Consider the following 24,603-nt stretch of genomic DNA (forward strand, 5'->3'; position numbering starts at 1 on the left):
AATATGTACTGAGAGTAATGCCAATCACTTATTTAAATAGTAACAAACCTGTAGTTTTCTCATCTGTGTATGTAATTCACTAGGAAAATGAACCCTACTCTGGTGAAATGACTCAGATTAACCAAAGTTTGAATCCTATTACTAATTGTGTGATCTTGGGGAAGTTAATTTTTTTAATTTGAAATAAAACTTACCTACAATAAAATGCACAAATCTTAAGTTTACAGCTTAAATGTTTACCTATGTGTGCTCCTTGTAACCATCACCTAAATCAAGATGTGAAACATTTCTATCACCCTAAACAGTTTCCTCTTGCCCCTTTACAGTCAACTCCCTGGCCCAGAGCACTATTCTGATTTTTATCACCATAAATTGGGTTTGCCTGTTATTGAACGTCATATAAATGGAATCATAGAGTATCTCTCTTTTGTATATGGCTTCTTTTGTTCAACATAATAGCTGTGAGATTCATCCATGTTGTTTTGTGTAATAGTTTCTTTTTATTGTATCATGAATAACTACAAATTATTTTTGTAGTCTCCTATTGACAGGCATTTGGATTGTTTTCAGATTTTGAACAAAGCTCCTACAAATATTTTACTACAAGTCTTTTGGTCAACACAAGGACTCATTTTTCTGGGCATATACTCAGAAGTGGAATTGCTGGAACATAGGGTATAACTTTTTATTAGAAACAGCCAAAGAGTTTTCCAGAATGGTTGTACCATTTACTATAGCCACCAGCATCATAAGAATGTTCTGTTTGCTCCACATCCTCACCATCAGTATGTGTTACTGTTGTTTTTAATTCTAGCCATTTACTGTGGTTTTAATTTATATTTCCCTGATGATTAGTGATATTGGGCACCTTTTCATATGCTCATTGGCAGTTTCCTTCTTTCTTCACCTGTTTACGTGTCTGTCCAGTCACATAAAAGGGGGTGGAGAAAAGGTGGTGAAGCGGTGTTGTTTGTCTGAGGTAATGCCTGAGATTCATTGTCTCATGCCAAGGAAATCGAAGATGCGGCCATACAAGGAGTGGATTTAGGAGCAGAAAGTTTAATAGGCAAAAGAGAAAAGAGAATAACTCTCTCTCCTGCAGAGAGAGAGGGATGCCAGAGTGGGTCTTCTGGTCCCATGGTGAAGTGCACAGGGTTTTATAGTCTGGCTTGAGGAGGCAGTGTCTGATTTACATAGGGCCCAAAGATTGGTTGAACCAGGTGTGATGTTTATATAACAGTTGAAGAAGCTGGCCACCCCAATCTAATCTTTTATTATGCAAACAGATTTTCTACCTGGCTGGTGCCATGTTGTCTGCTCCCTACTGTACATATGGCTGACAAAGAAAAGGGAAGTTGGAGCCACCATGTTGAACATGCCTAGCCCCTAGGTAGCCTTTTCCTATTGTCACAGCTGCCAGCTTTCACCCGTGCAAGCTTCTAGCTTGCTTCTCTATGTCTGCGGCTCAATTTTACAGGCTGTTTTTTGTTAGAAAAGAAATGATTTGAAGGCTGCTTTTTATTAAAAGGGAAACCTGATCAAGGACTTCCTTACCCTCACTGTCTGCCTAAATAATTTTTTTGAACTCCTATATCATTGGGATCAAAGGATGAGGTGCTGTCTTGCTATTCAGTGGTGATACCAAGAGTTGTGAAAATAGTTTATCCTTAGGCTAAATTACAGTCCTTTGGGTTGCTCATTATATCTTTAGGGTGACATTTGCTGCTGTTACAACCCCAAAACTTCAGTGGCTTAACAAAATAGAAGTATGTTTTTTGCTTACCTGACTGTCCAAAAAGGGTATTCCTGGTAGGTAGGTGTCCTTCCCAGTAGTTACTTAAGAATCCAGGTTCCTTCCATCCTGTGGCTCTGCAGTCTGGTACAGCTTCCAAGATCTTTATGCTTCTCTTTATCAAGCCAGAGAAAGGGAAAGAGTTGGAGAGGAGAGAGACAAAGTGGACTTGTGGAACATTTTTATGGGTCAGGCAAAGAAATAAGCATATACATCTCAGATTCCACTGTTACAAACTTAGTCACATGTAACTGTAAGAGAGACTGGGAAATGTGGCCTTATCTGTGTGCTCAGAAAGCTGGGAATCAGCTAGCAGTTTTTGCCAATACTGTTGAAATGGGTTGTTCTCCAGGATGGTCAATGGATTTCTGTAGTAAATTGAGTCAGGACAAGACTTCTTGATCTTCACGTATCAAGGAATCTGTGTAAGCTGCTAAGAGTTCTTAAATAAGACACCTTCCCATTCTCTGCTTTCTGCAGCATGAAGGAGAGTGACCATGGAAATATAGATAATGATAACTGAAATCCATTCTGTGATGGTACAGAATGCTTGGCTGAAAGCTGTTCTCCATTCATGATGATTTTTTAAATCTAGTATCTAATATTTATAAAATAAATGCAATTTGGAATAAAGTAATCATATTTCATCTTTCATAAATAATCCAGAACTTAGGATTTTAAAAGTTTAAAAAAGTGATTAAGTAGTTTTAGTGACTTATTAGAAAATGACTTCTAAGACAGTCCGTGGGGAAAAGCAAAGCTGTTTCTTTCACACCTTTTTTTCCATTGGGCTACTAATATACTCCTATATTTGAGTTGCCAAGTCATTATACTGTTCTTTTGTCTTAAAATCCTCTATCAACGAGAGAGAAATTACTGTAAATCATTTAAACCTTGGGTCAGCAATCTTTCTAGCTCTTAAGAGTTCAGTACACATCATTGTTAGAGGAAGGAGAGGAAGAAGAAGGTAAAGGGGGAACAGAAAATGATCATGAGTTGAGGTGCAGTAGAGCTTCTCCAATTCCTATGTCTTGTAATAAAGTGGCCTTGTGTTGTCTAAGCTTTTCTTGGACAAATCATTACTCTAGAACTGTCCTGTAAAAATATAATGTGAGCCATATATGTAGTCGATATATCCCAAATACTGTCATTTCAACATGTAGTCAAATGTAATGATTATTGAGGTATTTTACATTTATGTACTAAATCTTTGAAACCCAGTACTTATTTTGCCTATGCTTACATCTCAATTTGGACACTAAGTTATCATTGGAAATACTTGATCTTTATTTAGAGTGTATGAAATGTGTAGTTATAGAGTAGATTCACACACCCAAGTTGTCCAAACATACTTGAAAGTTTTCCAACAGCTGAATCAAGTCTCAATTTTTAAATTTAAATTTAGACTAAGAAACATTAAATAAAATTAAAATTCAATTTCTTATTGCATTAGCCATGTTTCAAGTGCTCAATAGCCACATGTGGCTAGTGGCTACCACACTGACACTACAACTCTAGAGTCTAGATTGAGTTTAGACTGTAAGCTCAAAAAATGTTTGTGGATTGAAAATATTAATGTAGTTTTAAAATGTCTAAAATAGAATTGAAAGTAGTGCTTAATAAATAAGCTAATTTAATTGAATAGCTGGAGGGAAGCCAGACTTCCAAAGCTAAACCTTTATTTCAAAAACTTATTCCTGGTAAACATGCGAAGTGCAGATACTTAGATCAGAATGGCTATACCTTTTTTTGGAGAATGCCTCTTTCTAGCCCAATGGCTGGCAATTCTAGTCAAATTGCATGTTAATTGCCACATAACGGTTAGCTAACCAATTGTGGAGGAAAATTTTAAGCTGTCATTTCTGTAATCCATTGGTTTGCATTTGGGCATTATAAAGTAAACATGAATGTAGTCAAAACAATTAGGGTTGAGATTCTGAAAATAATTATGTCCCATTCCATATTCCATGTCACTCTGCAGAGGAAACAATTTTATTGTTATAGGGGCATGCACATCTAATTTTGAAAATCTAACCTGCCAAATATCCTGTGTGAAGAAAGCACTCTATTCTTTGAGAATGTGACTCTTCTACCCTAATGCCCAGACATCTTTTGTACTACCCAAATTTTACTAGTTCAATGCTTTACTCGAGTCGACCTTCTTTCACAAAGCTTTCCTTGATTACTGTAGTTCACATTGATCCCTCCCTTCCCTGAATTTATTTCTCACTCATGGTAACAACCAAATATTTTGTCAACCAAATACTATGTATCTACAATGCTGTGAATTGTTTCCCATTTGATTATTGAGTGTCATCACATCTAGCACATCCAACTCAGTGATTGATAAGTGGCAGTTGCTTAACATTTGCTTGAGTACACAGAAAACAAGAACACCATAGAAATCCTGGGTAATAAACATAAGAATCTCTGACTGTTCCATGCTTTGTGCTCAGATTGCTTTACTGCATTCTCTTGTCTTGAGTAGTGTCAGGAGCTCGGCTCAACTGGAGAGAGAGTGCTGAACTGCCAGGTGTTGTTGGAATACTGGATTAAAGGACAATCAAAATAAAAGTGACAGTCAAGCTTTTCATCACTTATTGCAATAGTATAAACAAGAGTCTAAACCAGAGAAAGCACCTGCTCCATTCCATTCCTCTCACAGCCCCCATGGAATGGCCCACTAGTTGAAAGTCAAGTAGACCAGCACAGAGAGAGGAGTTGTCCTCACTGTCTGAGAGCTCCAAACAAAAGGCTTGGGCAGTTTTATGGGCCCAGGGCCTAGCAGGAGGCAGAGGGAAGGGCTAGGAGTGCAAAAGCACTGAGTCAGGGTGGAGCAAATCATCTTCGAGTTTTCCCGATAAGGATACCTCTAAATGGAGGCAGCTGAGCCAGGAATGCAGCCATGTGTAAGGTCATGGTGGACCAGGGGACTGTAATGACTTCCAGAGACTGCAGTGCACTGGCAGTGCCACTAAGTCTGATGTGGAGAGAGCAGCTTTCACCCGTGAGGTCTGTCAGATAAAGTGTTTGTAATTGCCTATGATCAGGCCTGAAAAATCACTCAGGTTTTTTTTTTTGCCAGGAACCAGGCTCCTCAAGTAGGAAATCACTTCTATTGTCAAGGCCCAAAACTACTCTCATCTATTCTAGAAGGCACATTTTCTCACACTTTAACATCTCTGAAAGCAGGATGCATTTTACAATTGATGTCCTACAATTGTAGTGTCAGGTAACAGTTTATGATCTAGTTCTATGAAAAGCTTCTTTTGACACTTGTGTAAAGTCAAGAAAACACTGGCATCAAAAAGTCTTAGGTTTGATGAGATACAGTATTCTTTTACATCATAAACAGTGTCTACATCACATCTAGAGTTTGGCAGGTTTTGTCTTTGGCATCTCCATTTTAGTCCTTCCTAACATGTTCCAGTGAGCTTCCCAAGACTATGTAAATTCTTTGTCTGCCAGCTGAGAAGAATACAGTTTCTTTTCTGTTTTTTCTTTGACCAAAGTCTCTTGTTCTGTAAAGGTCAACATAGTCTTAAAAAAACCCTATCAGATCATATATCCTTTTTTTTCCCTTACTGATGTTTACCTTTTCCAGGGATTTTTGGAATCTTAAATCATGCCAAGCCTTTCTGGGAATAGCTTGAAGAATTTTGAGAAATAAGTGACATGACTAAAAATGAAATTTCACTCATTTGGCTAGCTGATGGGTCTAAAGTGGAAGGAGTTGGGAAGACCCTTCACACATGCAATGGATCCCCTCACTTGACTCTGTTGGGACTGCTGTGAACTGTCTTAAGCTCTGCCAGGGCAGAACAAATGAATTAAACTGTGGAATGTTCTGTGGGCTTCAGCACCCAATTGGAACCATTTTCCCCAAATCCAACTGTTAAACCTGTTTAGGATTAAGGACTGGGGATAAGATTCTGATGACATTCCAGTGGTGAACATCTGCACTGTTATTTGTCTTTAATGCAATTTGGGAACTAAATTCAAATGGTAGATAGGAGGAGGAAACCAAAGGATCCTCAGGGACCACATAAAAAATGTGGCAAGCAAAAGCCCTTTTATAGAAAAAAGATTTGGAGACCAAATTTTGGGATAGTGGTCCTGACAGCCCTCTCTGCCAATGACTGAACAAGAGGCTTAGGCACTGGACTCCCTGAAATGGACTCTACCTTCCTTCTTTTGTGTGACCCTTCTTTACCTTTTCCATATATTCTCTCTTCTAACACTCTCCTTAGCCTTGGGTTATTCTGATGTGCACCCCGCTCAAGAACCACTGGCTAGACTTTAGATATAGACAGCATGTTTAGGTAGATGTATAGTAACACCTTCTGTTCATTTTCTGCCTTCTTGAAATTTGTTTTAGTTACCCATCGCTGCATAATAAGTTACCCCAAAGCTAAGTGGCAGAAAAACTACATGTATTATCTCACTCTTTCTGTGCATTAGGAGCCTGGGCATGGCTTAGCTGGGTACTCTGGTTCTAGGTCTCTCACAGGATACAATCAAGGTGTTGGCTAGGATGCACCCATCTCAGGGATTAACTGGGAAATGATCTGCTTCCAAGCTCACTTGGGGTTGTTAGCAAGGTTCAGTTCCTTTGGGTTGTTGGACTAAAGGTCTCAGTTTCTTATGAGCTGTTGACCAAGGGCTGCCCTGAGTTCCTTACGATAAGTGCCTCTCCCTAGTGCAGTTTACAGCAAGGTAGCTGACTTCATCAGAGCAGGCGAGTGAGAGGGCTGGAGGGAGTGTGAGAAAGACAGAAGTTCCAGTCTCCTAACCTGATCTCAGAAGTGACATTCCGTTACTTTTACTGTACTCTGTTTGTTAGAAATGACTCACTCACTAGTTTCAACCTACACTCAAGAGAACATTATATAAGAGTGTGAATTGGGAGACATTTTAGAAGCTGTCTACCACAGAATGCAAATTATTGCATGAATGATATACCATTTAGAACAAGGGTATGGGTTTGAATTCTATTCCACATGTCTTGAATGTAATAATGTCACAGCGTTAAAAATTCAACTTGAATCTGACAGTCCCCATCCTACTGGAATAGCTGGAAGTTTTATCTCAGTCATTAGCGGGGAACCCCTCACCTTGTCACACACACTCATGCTTGTGCTGAGGTTCCAGGGTCATGAGCACCACCAAAGCCCTCGGGAAACTCTTCAGTTATCAATTGCCTGTCCACACTGCTTACTTCCAAGTTAGTTGTGGTGCTCTCAGCTCCATAGGCAGTGCTTTCGGGGCCAGTAGCCTTGCTGCTGCTGTGCCATCCTGGGGCAGGGAGTCTTTGTCAAGGCTGAGAGCTCCTGTTCCCAAGACCTGGCCACCCTCAATGTACCCTGTAGTCACCCTCTTTGGAGCATGACTACTAAGAGGAACACAGGCCACCAAACTATATGTGTACGTAATCTGGCTTTTGTTGTTAGTGTAGAAGTGACATACATTCTCTTGCAGTTTTCTACATTCTAAGCCAAAGTCTGAACTCAGCGTTCTATGACCTAGAATAAGCAAGACATTTTCCACAAATATAACTATAAGTAATCTTCAACGTAAAATCTATATTACAAAAGCAGAACACAAAACGTCCTTGTTGTAGTTAATGTAGAATCTTACAGAATTGTTCTCACAAAACAACAGCAGCAACAACAACAACAATACACACACACACAATGATAACAAAATGAAGAGTACACATAATCTTCCAAGAAAGAAAGCTTCATCCCAACTTGGTTAATGGGATGTTTATATTCTTAGTGTCTTCAGGATACCTTCTGTGTGCATACATATCTTTTGGTTTTTTAGTTTATCCATATAGCAAGATGTAATGGCCATCTGTGTCAACTGTCTTTTGATTTTTTCAAAATTCTTTGACAAATTGCAATATGAGTCCTGTGCTCTCTGGCTTTAGCTCTACTTGGCCAAGACTGATTTCCATTCATGCATTATAATAAGCACCCCAATAATAGTGCAGGTTGTGTTTGGATCTGGTGGTTCCATACCACGTAGCCCTAGACCTTGATTTATTTTTATCTGCTCCTTTGGACCCTTAGGATAAATACAGAGTACATGTATGTTTTAAATCAGCTCTCATATTCCACCTTATGACAGGCTTTACTTTGTAACAGATTAACTCACTCTTCCCTTTCACCTTACATATCCTGCAGACTTCCAAGGAATGAAGGAAAAGATTGCAGTTACCAGTGTGGGATTGATATGGTTTGGCTCTGTGTCCCCACCCAAATCTCATCTCGAATTGTAATCCCCACATGTCAGAGGAGGGGCCTGGTGGGAGATGATTGGATCACGGGGGCAGATTTCTCCTCTGCTGTTCTTGTGATAGTGAGTGAGTTCTCATGACAGCTGATGGTTTTAAAGTGAGGCACTTCCCCGCCTCCCTCTAGCACGCTCGCTAATGCCGCCATGTAACGTGTGCCTTTGCTTCCCCTTCACCTTCCACCATGATTATAAGTTTCCTGAGGCCTCCCCAGCCATGTGGAACTGTGAATCAATTAAATTATTTTCTTTATAAATTACCCACTCTCAGGTTGTATCTATAGCAATGTGAAAACAGACTAACAGTGATGTATCCCTTGTCCCAGCTTTGGGGCAGATCTGTGTCAGAGGCAGTGGTTAGTCTCAGGGACAAAACCCCTTTCTGGTAGGGGTTTTGATTTTTGTAAACCTTGGCTTTGATTCTGTCATCCTCTCCTGAGAAGGTAGGTAGGTGGCTTCTGTGCTCTGTGTTGTTCAGGGAAACGGATGCTTTGATTCTCATGTGGTGATATAGTTTGGATATTTGTCCCTGCCCAAATCTCATTTTGAAATTTAATCCCCAGTGTTGGAGGCAGAGGTGGGGCCTGGTGGGAGGTGTTTGGGTCATGGGGGTGGATCCATCATGGCTTTGTGCTGTCTTCCTAATAGTGAGTTCTCATGAGACCTAGTTGCTTGTGTGGCACCTCCCCCTCACTATCCCTCTCTCTTGCTCCTCCTTTCACCATGTGATGTGCCTGCTTTCCCTTTGTCTTCTGCCATGATTGGAAGCCTCCTGAGGCCCACCCAGAAGCAGATGCTGCTATACTTCCTGTACAGCCTGCAGAACTATGAGCCAATCAAACCTCTTTTCTTTACCCAGCCTCGGGCATTTCTTTATCGTAATGCAAGAATGGACTAACACAGGCCTGGAAAATGGCTGGTCGCGAGAGGGGCGGCCGGTTGCTGGGGAGGGAGTCGGGGCTGTGTGGGGGCATTGGTTCAGCCCCAGCGGAGTCCGAGTCGGGGTTTGCAGCATGTTTTGTGGTGATGTTTCCAATCTCTTTCCCAACCAATGGATCAGGACGGCGATCAGTAGCTTGGACGGTCGCGGATCCTGGCTCCGCAAACGTTAAAGGAAATTGATGATGTCTATGAAAAATATAAGAAAGCAATGATTCATTCCATGTTCATTAAGTGAGGGAGTGTCACAAGAAGATGAATTTCAAGAACTATTTGAAGAAAGAGAAAGAGAATGGTGAGTTCTTCTTCTAGGGTACCATTTGGAAAATGGCTATTCCCAGTGAATTATCCTTCCCAAATAGCATTTTGATGCTGTTGTTCCTTTCTTTGAGGTTCACAATGGTTCTTAATTTTCATCTAATTTATGAGACCCAGTTATCCAGCACATGAGCTATGGGAGGGCCTTTCCAACATAGCTCACAATAAGCTTACTGCTCTGGCTTGGCAAAAACACTCCTCTGCTCCTCAAACACTCCTTCTCCACTGTGCTCTGGGATGTAGCACCTGTCAGTCCTTTACTCAGAATGCTCTCACTCTGTTGAGCTACATGTTTTTCCTCTTCTGAAATTCTGTTTGAGACCCATCACTCTAGGAAGGCTTCCCTACTGGCTCACTTTGATTTGATGGTAAGTATGTTTCACATTCTGCTGAGACTGTGAGCCTTTCATGAGAAGGGACTGTGTGGCACTAGCATGTTAATATGTGGGTGCCCAATAAGTGGTAGCTGGCTGGTTGTGCCAGGATCCCCTTGGTACTTATGCTACATTCCACTCACTGCTGTGGGCTCAACTTCCATCCTTTGTGCCAGGAAAGAAAGCCATGGGAGAGATAGGATGTGACCAGAGAAGAAAGCCTAGGAATCACAGAAAATGTGTGTGACAGTAGAGACAAAGTAATGCAAACTGCAATGATGAATTTTAGTTATGGTTGCCATGTGTATTTGGGAAAGGAATTAGATGATTCTGATTAGCACCCCTCATTAAGAACCAGACCTGGCCGGGCACGGTGGCTCATGCCTGTAATCCCAGCACTTTGGGAGGCTGAGGCGGGCAGATCACGAGGTCAGGAGATCGAGACTCATGCTGGCTAACACGGTGAAACCCCATCTCTACTAAAAATACAAAAAAATTAGCCGGGCGTGGTGGCAGGTGCCTGTAGGGAGGCTGAGGCAGGAGAATGGTGTGAACCCAGGAGGCGGAGCTTGCAGTGAGCCCAGATCGGGCTACTGCACTCCAGCCTGGGTGACAGTGAGACTCCATCTCAAAAAAACAAAACAAAACAAAACAAAACAAAAACCCAGACCTGTGGACAGGACTGGCTATATACGTATATACGTTGTGGAGCTTAGTGCAAAATGAAAATATGGGGCTTGGGCTCAGAAACTTAAGAATTTCAAGACAGCAATAGCAAGGCATTAAACCAAATTCAGGGACCTTCTCACTGTAAGGCCCTGAGTGACCCAATTGTGCAGCTTGCGCATCTTGTCTATAAAAGATTAACAAGTAAGAGACAGAAGGTTGAATGTGACTCACCGAAAATAGAGATTTCTTTATTTAAAATCAAAACCAAAAAAGCCTATTACATTCCCAATAAAAATTATAGAGTCATGTTAGACTAAATCTTCTTGGTCTCATGGGATACAAAGAGAACTGACTCTATCTTCAATAAGTCAGAGATTTTCAAGTAGAGAAAGTCACCGACTATGTGCTATCTCTGAGAGTAGGAGTGAGTCAGATTTTTATGTTGATAAGAAGAGTGGGCCAGGCACGGTGGCTCACGCTTATAATCGTAGCACTTTGGGAGGCCGAGGTGGGGGGATGCAACATGGAGAAACCCCATCTCTACTAAAAATACAAAATTAGCCGGGTATGGTGGCACATGCCTATAATCCCAGCTACTCAGGAGGCCGAAGCAGGAGGATCACTTGACCATGAAGGTGGAGGTTGCAGTGGGCTGAGATCATGCCATTGCACTCCAGCCTGGGCAACAAGAGCGAAGCTCCGTCTAAAAAAAAAAAAAAAAAAAAAAGTGAACTTTTTATGTTGAAAAACATGGCTCTAGAAGAGACATAAATTTGGATATGAAAGATTGCTGTGAGATTTGCAAGAGACAGTGATTGGTCTGTCTATACCTTCATTCAATAAATATTCATGGCCTAATATATTGCCAAAAGCCAAGCTGCATGGCCAACTTCCTCTTGTATTGTGGAAATTTCCTGTGCTTGCTTTACTTTGGGGCTTTTGGGACATAGGGTGTTTATCAATGCCTGTGAATGGGAAGGGGCAGGAGCAGGCTTGGGCAGAGGGAGAACTCTGAATTGAGTTGCAGGTCCAACAAAGCCTGGGGATCTGCATTTCTTTTTTGTTTATTCTTCTTTTAGAGACAGGGTCTCACACTGTTGCCCAGACTGGAGTGCAGGGGCACAATCATAGCCTCAAACCCCTGGTCTCAAGTGATCCTTCCTCCTCAGCCTCCTGAGTAGCTGGGACTATAGATGCATGTCACCAGTACCAGCTAACTTTTTTTTTTTTTGAGACAGAGTCTCACTCTGTCACCCAGACTGGAGTGCAGTGGTATGATCTCCGCTCACTGCAACCTCCACCTCCCAGGTTCAAGCAATTCTTGTGCCTCAGCCTCCTGAGTAGCTGAGATTACAGGCATGCACCACCATGCTCAGCTAATTTTTGTATTTTTAGTAAAGACGGGGTTTCATCATGTTTACCAGGCTGGTCTCAAACTCCTGACTTCAACTGATCTGCCTGCCTCGGCCTCCCAAAGTTCTGCGATTATAGGCATGAACCACTGCACTTGACCCAATTTTTTATTTTATTTTTATTTTTATTTTATTTTTTTTGTAGAGATGGGGGTCTCACCATGCTGCCAGGGTGATCTGAAACTCTTGGCACTAAGCAATACTCTCACCTCAGCCTCCCAAAGTGCTGGGATTACAGGCATGAGCCACCACGTCTGGCCAGAATCTGCATTTCTACACAAGTTTCCAGTTAATGCCCATGTGACTGATCATGGCCACAGTTTGAATAGCAAAGTTCTGTAGCAAACTGACTGGTTTTCAGCTGATAATAAAACAATGAAGGAAGAAATGAACAACTGCTAACTGTGTCTATGGGTTCTTCATGGTTTCTTTTTTAATTATAATGATGTGGAAAAACTGTGAGCTATGCTTAATTATGTGATGAAAATGCAAATAATACTTTCCCTTCATGGTCTTAAAGAAATATTTTTGAAGATTAATGAGGTGAATGATTGAAAGGCTGGTAGAGTTTCCAGAAAGCATGGTACTGCTTTAGTGCTTGGCATGAATATGTAGTGGAGTCCACAGGTGAGTATTTCCTCGGAAAGTTGTTATGTGATTCTATTATATTTCAGAAAAGGAGACTTCAGAAACTGCATTTGAAAGTTTCTTATTCACATCACTGTTCTTAGGGACAGTGGGCACAGAGGTTTGGGCATTTTACTGCAGCTTTCCCTGCTGAGTTAGTGTAACCACAACCATATTCCGTGATTAGCCTATTAAGCTCCCAAGCCCTGGGAATGGGATTGTTTCTTCCTGAAGGTATAGAGTTGGAGGTGAGCACTGCAGAAGGCATAACTATACAGTCTAGAGATTTATTTTTTGAAAACAAACCAGAATTTAGTAATCTGAAAGAGTGTTATCCATCAGGGTGTCTGCTTATAAGACCACAAATGTATTTCAAGGATATTGCAGTTGCTCAACACTCAGTAATTCCATCTGCCCTTTTGGATATCCACGTCAACTGGCCTTTCTCAGCCAGGGCTCTGTGCAAGAATTAAGCCTGATTCCCTAAAGGTATCCATTGTATATAGTACATATTGTATGTGATAGGAATTAACTTCTCTTCTGTACATTTAGATTGGTACTAATTATGTTCCATTCTTGGTAAAATAAGAGTCACTTAAATTCTTTTCTGTGTTTTGTGGTTCAGATAAGGAACCTGGATGGAAAGGCTGCCAGTGATTCTTATTGTTTTCATAGAGCTATAATTATTAACTGGCAGATTGCTGTGTAATTAGTTCCTGCTATAATTATTAATTACAATAATTTAATAATTATTAAATTGAAGGAAGAAGGAGGGAGTCAGAAGTTTAAAGAAACAGTAACATATTTGCAACCTCCATTTGAGCTGGGCCAGGAAAATAGTCTTTGACTTAACACCAAAAAGTAGTATAGTGCAGCTGAAGATTTTCAGAGGCGGAGTAGAGGAGGAGAGAGGTAGAGGCAAGTCTGGAGTAAAGATCTCGAGCAGCACTGTCCAATAGAAATACAATGTGAGGCCGGGAGTGGTGGCTCAAGCCTGTAATCCCAGCACTTTGGGAGGCTGAGGCTGGTGGATCATGTGAGGTCAGGAGTTCAAGACCAGTCTGGCCAACATGGTGAAACCCTTTCTCTGCTAAAAATACAAAAATCAGCCAGGGGTGTTGTCGGGTAGCTGTAATCCCAGCTACTCGGGATGCTGAGGCAGGAGAATCGCTTGGGAGGCGGAGGTTGCGGTGAGCCAAGATCACACCACTGCACTCCAGCTAGGGTGACAGAGCAAGACTCCATATTAAAAAAAAAAAAAAAATCACAATGTGAACCTCATTTTAAAAAGTAAAAAAGATAAAATTAACTATAATAATATATATCATTTAACCCAAAGTGTTTTTAAATTATGATCAATATAATTATTTTTAATGAGAATTTTACATTCTTTTTTTGTATTCACCTTCAAAACCTTGTATGTATTGGATTTCCAGCACCACATCTCAGATTGGAATTGTCACACTTCAGTTGCTCAGTAGTCACCTGTAGCTAGTGCTACTGCATTGGACAGCACAGCTCTAGATGCCATATCACTACAAAGATTATGTAATTTATAATTAAACAGTAAAGTTGTATTTTTCAAAATGTCATAAAATACAAATATGCTAAAAGTAAAAATAAGTCATTTGTAGATTTTCTCTTTTTTTCCTCTCTCTCTTCCATCTTTCCTTCTCCCTCCATTCCTTCTGTCTAAGCCTTGGGGCACTCTACAATAGAGAGGTCAGGGAGAACAGGAGGCCTAGGTAAAGGGACTGAAAAAAGACCGGTGAGGCAGGAGGAGAGCCAGGAGAGTGTGGTGCTCCAGAAGCCATGGTATCCTGGAACCAGCTTCTGTCAGTTCACGAGGGCTGATTGGTAAATTTTCTGGAATTTAGTAAACAGGTTGAAGTATGGTCATTAGTAAAAATTATATAATTTAAATAAATTGTACTTTTAAAAAGTAGTACTCAAAACTCATTTCTTCTTATTTTTTTTTTAAAAATGAGGATTTATTTGACAAGTTTTACTTAGCTCAATATACGTAAAAGGAAATCACAGTACAATGGAAGACTTAAATCAAGGCCTCAGAATCTCATACAAACATCAAGACCAAAATCCTAAAGTATTGGTATTGCATCTCAAATTTTTCCCATTAACTTAAAAAAAAACAAAACTTAAACTTATGTGCCTTACAGGTTATTAAATAAAACTAGAATTAACAAAGAAGCCAAAATGTTTCACTTTAATTGTAGACAGACACAGCTCCTATATTGAGTTTTACAACAAAAAAACCCATGTCTTTCAGCATGCATCTACACAGTGTTCAATGTAATGTAGCAAAGGGCAACAGTGAACATAATTCAACTCCTTTTACCTCAATACACTTACTGCTTAAGAACATCCTATAATATAACTAACTTGAGCAAAGCTGGAACTTGTTTAACAGTTATAGTTTACTCAACTTCAGTGTTACATCCTAGATGAGTATTGTGTTAAAAAATACTGAGCCTTAAGTCTTCATAACAATCCTGATTTCTACTTAGAGAGTAAGCATAAATCATAAGTTTGTATTGCAGAAACTGTTAAACTGAAGTTTTGGGTTTTTCTTAAAAAAAAAATTGAGCAAGGGTCAGTGATCAATTATATTCCCCATCCACCACTCATACTGGACATGGTAGACATCCCTCCCATTCCATTCACACCTATAGATGCACAGCTTCCATTACTGTAGTAGCTGCTGTTCATTGCTCCTTGGCTACCTATGCAATGTCTGATTGAAAATCACATGAGTTTTCCTGTAAAACTTGGTCAAATCCACTCATGCTGCTGTGGCCACCATAGCCACCTCCATAACCACCACTCAGCTGCGGGCTGGCTGGGCCACCATAACTGGACTGGATTGACAAGCCCATGCCCCCCATCATTTGGCTACCGTAAGCAGTACCGCTGGCTCCTGCTGCACAATTCAAGAAGGGTTCTACATAGCTGTGTTGCATATTTGCTTTGTCTTTTGACATAGCTGCCACAGCATCTTCATGAGTTGCAAACTCAACATCTGCTTCACCAGTTACTCTGCCATCAGGACCAATTTCAATGTGTACCCTCACAGCATTGAGCAGTCAAAAAAATTACAAATGTCATTCTCAGTAGCTCTGTAAGGTAATCCACACGTATATACAGTGTCCTGTTGTGCTCTGGAAGGTAGAGCCACCATCCCCATATTTGTGATCAGACATTCCTGAAAAACAATAATTGAGGTCTCTTCCAAATCTATCTGACCCAAATCCATAGCCATAGCCATTATAATTGTCACAGGCTCCATATCCTCCACCATAAGCACCATGCCTCATCCTCTGAAAGCCAGCTCCTCTGCCAATGCTGTTAAAACCTCTGCCAGAACCAGGTCTGTCATGGGACCTGGCCGCCGCATGGCCATAAGCTTTTATGGTGGATTGTAGTGAGTTCCAACTTCAGCCCTGCTGCTTTTAAAGATTTCAATATACCTGTGCCCTATTCTTTCCTTGTGTTTCTTTAGAGCCTTTTCGGTTATTTTCTGCGAAGCAAACTGCACGAAGACCTCCCCTATACTCCTCCCCTGGAGTCCACTGGCAATGTTATCCGATTTGGCACGATTTCCAACCCTGAGAAGAACTGAACAATTTCTTCCTTGCTGCATTCAAAGGGAAGTCCTCTAAGCTGTACAAAGCCATCATTGGCCGTGTCAGGACTATTTCGACCGGTATGCTTCAACACCCAATCCATTTCAACGTTGTTTGACTTGAATGCTTCAACAAAACTGTGTCCCATAGTTTCTCTGTCCTTTTTCAGGGCCAATTTGACTTCATTTTCTGATTCAAGTTCAACAAAAGCCTTGTCACCCAGCCTGCCTTCTCTGTTGTAGATGAAACGAATACCTTGAGCCTTATTTTGAATTTTGCAGTCAGAAGAAACGCTGCACTTCATCGGCCAAGCAAGACCAGGGCAAGCCGTGGACCTTCAACATAAACCCCTCGCCACCTTTGGTGCCCAACATCATTGTCTCTTACCTGGTCTGGTGTCAAAACAGACCAGACACCTGACTTCGGCAGGGCTAAAAAGAAATGGCCCACTTCTTAATTATTTTGGTAGACTTTACTAGTATCTATGCTCCTGAGATTATGGCTGTTGCATCTGTGTGGTGGAAATACTACATAATGGAGTGTACTACTGTTCATCTCTTTCTAACTCAGCAGTCACGCTGGTAGACTGAAATTGGCCATAGTGGAAGTACTTACATCACAGAAATCAGCAAAGGCAACAAATTGGAACTTTTGAAAATTTTTCTGGAGAACCTGTTGTTAAACATTTACCAGCACACTACTGCCTGGAAGCCAAGAGAAGATGGAGTATCAAGGGGAGAGGAATCAGTTGTATCAAGTGCTGCTAAGATGAGGTTAGTAACGTAAGGTTTGGAAATTGAACATTGGATTAAGCTCCATGGATTTCACAAGGACTAAAAAAGACAAAATCGCTGCCTTTGTGGAACTTACATTCTGATGATTGACTTGGAAATTTAATAGCAAATAGAACAGAAAAAAATGTCCTGCCTTCATGGGTTGGGATGTAGTAGGCATTTTGAAGGACCTGCTGTTCTTGGAATAGTAAATTTCATTCTCTCCACCTTCTAAGCTTTGTATGTTCTCTGTGTTTAGACTGCCCTTTGCTGTCTTATTCTGCTGGTGTACATCTGTCTATTCATTTCTTTAGGATTCAGCTCAAATGTGTATTCCTTTGGGCAGCTGTCTCTGAACTTTGCAGGCAAAATTAAATGCTTGCCCTGAATATTCCTGTGTTTTTCTTATGCCTGTATTTTTCTCATTGCTGTAATGATGGCCCATTTCTACATCTTTCCTTGATGAGCCCACTGACTGATAATGGCTGCGATCTTCATCTTTGTATCTCAGGGCCTGCCACCATCCTTGGCACATAGTAGATCCTATGTTTCTCTACATCTTTAGAGACTGAAGGAATCAAGTAATTAACCTGGGATTAAGATATTGAGATCTGATCCAAGGCAGAGGGACCACAAGACCTACTCCATGGGGGGATGTAAATGGTTGTCAGTAGAACTGTGCTTATTTCTGTCTCTGGACCATTTGACACTCTGTCTTTATCATTCTCTCTCCTGATTTGAATATCTAATCTGGGGCCTGAAACAATCAATGTGCTATATTATAAAATAAAACTTGTTTGCTTTTCTATTCAGAGACCTTTTATTGCTAAAATTTTCCACTTGTTACCTTTTCTTTCTCAATCAATTTACACTTTGAATTTATTCATTTGTTTAGCAATTTCCATTTTATTTTCATCTCCTCATGTTTTCTTAAAACTAAGTTACTTCTTAGCATCATGGTTACATCAGGGATCATTTGGTTGCAAGGAACAAAAACATGTTCAATCTACTTTAATAAGCAGCAGTTTATTGCATTGATATAATAGGCAATGTCATGGGCATCCACAGGCAGGGACTTAATACAACAGGGTCTCTTGTGTTCCACATGAGCACTTGTACTGAACTGTCAGTCATCACATGGACTCTCACCCTTGCTTCTCTCTTTGCTTTTATTCACTCTCTCCTTAGCCATCTTTCTTTTCTCGCATGTCTAAAACAGGGCTGCCAGAACCCATCACCTGATAGCTCCACTCAGCTGACTTTGTTTCACATTCCCATGTGAGAGGATCCGGTGAGTTAGCCAGGTCTATGAACCACATGTAACCTGGGATCCTATCTCGATGAAAGGGTGTGTTCTTCATTTCCTAGGGATGTTGTAGCAAATTACCACAAACTTGGTGGCTAAAAAACCACAGAAATGTATTCTCTCACAGTTCTGGAGACCAAAAGTCCAAAATCAAGATGTCAGCAGTGTTCCTTCTGGAGTCTCTGAGGGAGAATCTGTTCCATGTTTTTCTTTAAAAAAAAAAAAAAAATTTTTTTAAGAGATGGTCTTGCTATGTTGCCCAAGCTGGTGTTGAACTCCTGGCCTCAAGCAATCCTCCCACATCAGCCTCCTAAAATGCTGGGATTACAGGCATGAGCCACTGCCCCTGGTCTTATTTCATGCCTCTCCTTCTCCTAGCTTGTTGTGGCTCCAGCAATCCTTGGTGCTTCTTGATTTGTAGACACATCATGCCAATCTCTACTTAGTCACGTGGTTTTTCCTTGTGTCCCTCTGTGTCTGTCTCTTCTGTTTCTTACAAGGGCACTGATTATTAGATTAAGGGCCACCCTAATCCAGGATGATCACATTTCGAGATCTTTACCTTAATTATATCAGCAAAGACTCAATTCCAAGTAAGGTCATATTAGGGTACCAGGTAGACATATCTTCTGTGGGCCACTATTGGACCCACTATGGGAGGTGTATGGGAGTATATGAGAGGTATAGTCAAAGGCTACCAGCATGGCTTTGAGGCCCCATTGCAGGTGCCAGTAAATGCCTAGTTGTTCCACACCTCTACCAGGAATACTTGTCACTTTATCATTTTGAACACTTACTTTCAATTAACATGTTCTGCTGAAATGTCCCTTTCTCTAAATAACTTTCAGGGACTCACATCCCTTAGGGCGGAATTAATGACTTGCCTTTCCCATTTCCCATAGCATTTTATACACACCTCTGACAACACTTGCCATTTTCATTTATAGCACTTTGTTTACGTGTCCATTTTCCCACTTAAGTTGTGGACTTTTCCTGGGTGGGGCCTGTTCTTTACTCAGTTTTGCTTCCGCAGTGTCAAGCACAGGATCCAACTTTGAGTTATGTTTGTGGAATTGCGTTGAAAGTCTGGGCTTCATGGATTGAATTTCTTCCCTTCCAGCCTTAGTGTTACTTGATTCAATTGTGTTAATTGTCCATTCCAGCCAGTTTCGTCTGGGATTGTACTCTGTTGTGTTCTCTGTTACATGCTCAGCTCTGCCCCGTCTTTCCTGCTGCCACAACCTATGTTAGCCCTCATCAGCATACTTCTGCTGCCCAAATTCTTTAGGCCCTGCATTCTCAAGTTGTCCCCACCACCCCTTCTGTTCAGGTTAATCTTCCCTTTTGCATGCATGTGCCCACACATGGGGATCCACTTTACATGTTTATCTTAGCCATGGTCGATGCAGTTAGGATTTCCAAATTACATTATCAGTACCAAATTAGGTTTGAAAAAGGAGAGGGAGCATTTCTTTCTTTTGCAATCTTGTCACAGTGTTTCCTGTGGTCCCAGAAATCATGGTGGAAAGAAAATTGGGATTTCAGGAAACATTGCTTGATTCTGCAGGAAGTGAACAACGTTTTCTAATGATTTCCAGAAAAAGAAATGTCATATTTTTCTGGAGTACTTTAGGAGGAAGTAGTGCAGTCAGTGGTGGGAAATATGTCCTCCACTCCCTGTTAAGTTCTCTGTGGCAGATCTTACATATTGCCAGTGAGTTCCTGCTCTTATTTAAAGAATGAAGATAATGATATTCTGCAGCTATGAATTTTGAGTTCAACTATGTAGTTGCTGATTTTCTGCCTACTGGGTTTGTCCATTTCCAATACAGGGGTGTCAATATCTTCACTATCATAGTGGATTCTTCTATTTCCCATTGTAGTTCTGTCAGTTTTTGCCTTATGTATTTTGATGCTCTGTTGGTAGATGCATACAAATTAAGGACTGTTATGTCTTCTTGGAGAATTGGCCCCTTTACCATTATATAATGTCCCTCTTTATCCCTGATAACTTTTCTTGCTCTGAAGTCTGCTGTTTCTGAAATTAAGGCAGCTACTTCAACTTTCTTTTGATTAGTGTTAGCATGATATCTCTTTCTCTATCCATTTATATTTAATCTATATGTGTCTTTATATTTAAAGTTGGTTTCTTTTGTTTCCTTTTGTTTGTGTATGTAAAATGCAATCTTCCTTCTGCAGCTTTCTTTATTGAAGTGTTTGGTATATATTTGGTGCTAGCATGGCCATTGCTAATTCATGAATTTTTTTTTACTTTATTTATTTGTAATTTCAACTTTTATTTTAGAATCATGGGGTACATGTGCCAGTTTGTTACATGGTATATTGTGTGATGTTGGGGAGCCAGAGGGGAAAATAAACCACCTTTCCTATAAAGGCACAAAAGAATTACATCCAATGTCTCCTCAGAAATCATATAAGGAAGATGAAAGTAGAATGAAATATTTAAAGTGTTAAGAGAAAAAAACCCCCACCAACCTAGAATTGTTTATCCTATAAAATTATCCTTCAAAGTGAGGGAGGAATAAAAACTCTCGGACAAAAATTGAGATAATTTGTTGCCGGTAGACCTGCCTTGCAAGAAATGTTAAAAGTTCTTCCAAGAGAAGTAAATAATATGAGTCAGAAACTCAGATCTACATAAGGAAAGGAAGAGATCACAGAAGAAATAAGTGAAGGTAAAAGAAACACTTCTATTTTTCTTATTGTGAGTTGACCTAACAGATAAGTTTGTTCAAAGTAATAATAATTATAACAATGTATCTGATTAATATAGTTTATGTGTAAGTGAAAAACAGTCATTTTACTTTTCATTTTCTACAGTTTTAATGATATACCTAGGTGTAGTTTTTCTGGAATTTATCTCACTTGGTGTTCTCTGAGTTTATTGGATCCTTGGTTTGTTTTCTGATGTTAATTTGGGAAAGTCTCTGTTTTTACTGCTTTAAATATTGTGTCTGTTCTTTTTTCCTTCTTCCCTTTCTGGTATTCCCATTATGAGTATGTTACACCTTTGCAGTTGTCCTGAAATTCTTAGATACTATTGTTTATTTATTTTTAGTTTTTTTCTCTTTGCTTTTCCACTTTGCAAGTTTCCATTGTCAAATCCTCAAGCTCAGAAATTATTTCTTCAGCTATGTCCAGTCTACCTGTGACCCCAATAAAGGCATTCTTCATTTTTGTTAGTGTTTTTAACCTCTAGCATCTCTTTTTTATGCTTCCTTAGAATTTCCATTCTGTGCTTAAGATATCCATCTGTTCTTGCAAATTGTCTACTTTTTCCACTCACCCTTAGCATATTAATCATAGTTATTTTATATTTATAGTCTGATAATTTTAACATCCATACCATATCAGGGTCTGGTTGTGATGCTTGCTTTGTCTCTTTAAACTGTGTTTTTTGCCTTTTAGTATGCCTTATAACATTTTGTTGAAAGGTGAACATGATGTACCAGGTAAAAGGAACTGGGGTAAACAGACCTTTAGTGAGGTCATGACAAGATGTGAAGGGAGAGGAAGTGTTTGACAGCCCTATGATTAGGTCTCAGTCTTTTAGTGAGCCTGTGCCTCTGGACTGTGAACTTCACAAATTGTGTTAATTGTGGTACAGGTGGATTTCACTTAGGTGGTACAGGATGGCAAGAGAGGGCTGTAGTGGGGTATTTTCTTTCCCATTAGGTTAGGCTCTTGAGGGCAGGTGATATGGTTTGGCTGTGTCCCCACCCAAAATCTCGTCTTGAATTGTAATCCTTGTAATCCCCACGTCAAGGGCAGGACCAGATGGAGGTAATTGGAACATGGGGGCTATTTCCCCCACGCTGTTCTCATGATAATGAGTGAGTCACATGGGATCTCACGGTTTTTTAAGTGTCTGGCATTTCTCCTACTTGCACCCATTCCATCCTGTTGCCCTGTGAAGAAGGTGCCTACTTCTCCTTTTCCTTCCGCCATGATTGTAAGTTTCCTGAGACCTCCCTGAGCCATGTGGAATTTATAAAGGAAACCTCTTTCCATTATAAATTACCCAGTCTCGGGTGTTTCTTCATAGCAGTGTGAGAACGGACTAATACAGCAGGCCTTGTTAAGAAGAACGAAATGCTCTAGTATATTTCAAAATGGTTACTCCCCTCTGTCCCTCTGCTACCTGCTATTTTTCTCTAATCTTTGCTATGAGAATTTGGTGGTTCTTATACGAGCTCCTGTAGGTAAAACTCACAAAGTATGAGGGCCTCTTTATGACTCGGGCTCCCTGGAGTTTTTGACTCTTATACTTGTCCACACTGAGCCTTGAGTGATTTAACAATGATAATTCAGGTTTTCCTACCCTGGTACTGGTTCCTGTGGAAATGAGTTTGTGTTCTGGGGAGCTGTGATTCTCTGTATATCCACCTGTCTGTCTCTCCAATTTTGGGGACAGTGGTTTGTCCTGTGACCTCACTTCTCTGATGGATCTAAGAAGAATTGTTGATTTTCAGTTTGTTTAGCTTTTTACTTGTTGTTAGGACAGATTTATGCCATTTAAGCTCCTTACATGGGGAACCAGAACCTGGAAGTCCCAGCTGTAAATATTGAAGGCATAATGATTTCTTAACTTTTATATTCTGATGCGTATTGTTTGGTTCTCTGCCTTTCCAAAATAGGAATTGACCCCATAATATTTCTGTACATTTTAACTGGGAATGTTAAGACCTGGATAAATTCTAATCTTGGCTCTGCTGCTAATGATGTTACCTTGGGCAAATCAGAGACTGAGTTTTCTCATCTATAAAAGTGAAGGGTGCAGACTCATTTCTAAGTCTCCTTCTAGCTTTAAAATTCTGAGGTGGGCGGATCACGAGGTCAGGAGTTCGAGACCAGCCTGGCCAACATGGTGAAACTCCGTCTCTACTAAAAATACAAAAATTAGCCAAGCTTGGTGTCGTGCGCCTGTAATCTCAGCTACTTGGGAGGCTGAAACAGGAGACTCGCTTGAACCCGGGCAAAGTTCAGTGAGCCAAGATCATGCCACTGCACTCCAGCCTGGGTGACAGAGCAAGACTCCATCTTGGAAAAAAGAATCTATATTTTATGATGTTACAAAATATTCTCTGATTTTGAACACTAATACCAGTACTCTGGGTAAACCTGTGTGCTCAAGCAGGTGCCCTATTATACTTTCTGGAATTTAAAAATAAACTTTTTATTTTGGAATAAATTTAGATTTATAGAAAAGTTGTTAGCCAGACATGGTGGCTCACACCTGTAATCCCAGCACTTTGGGAGGCTGAGGCAGGTGGATCATGAGGTCAGGAGTTTGAGACCAGCCTGGCCAACATAGTGAAATCCCATCTCTACTAAAAATACAAAAATTAGCTGGGCATGGTGGTGTGCACCTGTAGTCCCAGCTACTTGAGAGGCTGAGGCAGGAGAATCACTTGAACCCGGGAGGTGGAGGTTGTGGTGAGCCGAGATCATGCCACTGCACTCCAGCCTGGGCAACAGAAAAAAAAAAAAAAATAAAAATAAATAAATAAATAAATAAATAAATAAATAAATAAATAAAAAGAAAAGAAAAGTTGCAAAGATAGGGCTGGGCGCAGTGGCTCACACCTGTAATCCCAGCACTTTGGGAAGCCAAGGCCGATGGATTACTTGAAGACCAGCCTGGCCACCATGGTGAAACCCTGTCTCTACTAAAAATACAAAAATTAGGTGGGCGTGGTGGTGCACTCCTGTAATCCCAGCTATTCTGGAGGCTGAGACAGGAGAATCACTTGAACCCAGGAGGCGGAAGTTGCAGTGAGCCAAGATCGCACCACTACACTCCAGCCTGGGTGACACAGCAAGACTCTGTCCCCCGCCAAAAAAAGTTGCAAAGATAATGCAGAGTTCCTGAATACCCCTTACTGTTTTCCCCATTGGCAACATTTTATATTATTATGGTACATTTGTCAAAACTAAAAACCAGATCATGAATGGTACATTACTATTAGCCAAACTCTAGGCTTCTATTTGGATTTCACCAGTTTTTCCATTAATGTCCTTTTTCTGTTCCAGGATCCAATGCAAGCTACCATATTACATTGAGTCATCATATCTTTCCAATCTCCTCTGGTCTGTGACAGTTTCTCAGTCTTTCCTTGGTTTTCATGACCCTGATGGTTTTGAAGAGTGTTGACTAGATATTCTGTAAAATGTCCTCAAACTTGGGTTTTTCTGATGTTTTCCTCATTACTAGACTGGGCTTGTGGGTTTTTGGAAAGAAACCACAAAGATGAAATACCTTTCTTGTCACATTATATCAGGGATTGGTTATATCTATATAACATCACTGGTGATGCTAACTTTCATTAATTGGTTAAGGTAGTGTTTGCCAGGTTTCTCCACTGTAAAATACGCTTTTTGTCTTTCCCAACTCTGTTCTTTGGAAGTGAGTCATCAAGTCTAGCATACCCTGA

General features: G+C 40.5%; 1 protein-coding gene and 1 pseudogene across 1 annotated transcript in view; one reads left to right on the forward strand and one right to left on the reverse strand.

The window, feature by feature from the left end:
• On the reverse strand, positions 14,973-16,513 carry HNRNPH1P3 (heterogeneous nuclear ribonucleoprotein H1 pseudogene 3; annotated as a pseudogene).
• IL31RA (interleukin 31 receptor A) overlaps positions 16,210-24,603 on the forward strand; it is an 83,062-nt gene continuing 74,668 nt past the window's right edge. The window contains exon 1 of the mRNA XM_011543142.3: positions 16,210-16,842. The gene's annotated coding sequence lies outside the window, so the exon portion shown is untranslated. The remainder of the gene's footprint in view (positions 16,843-24,603) is intronic.

This window comes from Homo sapiens, chromosome 5, assembly GCF_000001405.40.
Source record: "Homo sapiens chromosome 5, GRCh38.p14 Primary Assembly".
NCBI classification, from domain to species: domain Eukaryota; kingdom Metazoa; phylum Chordata; class Mammalia; order Primates; family Hominidae; genus Homo; species Homo sapiens.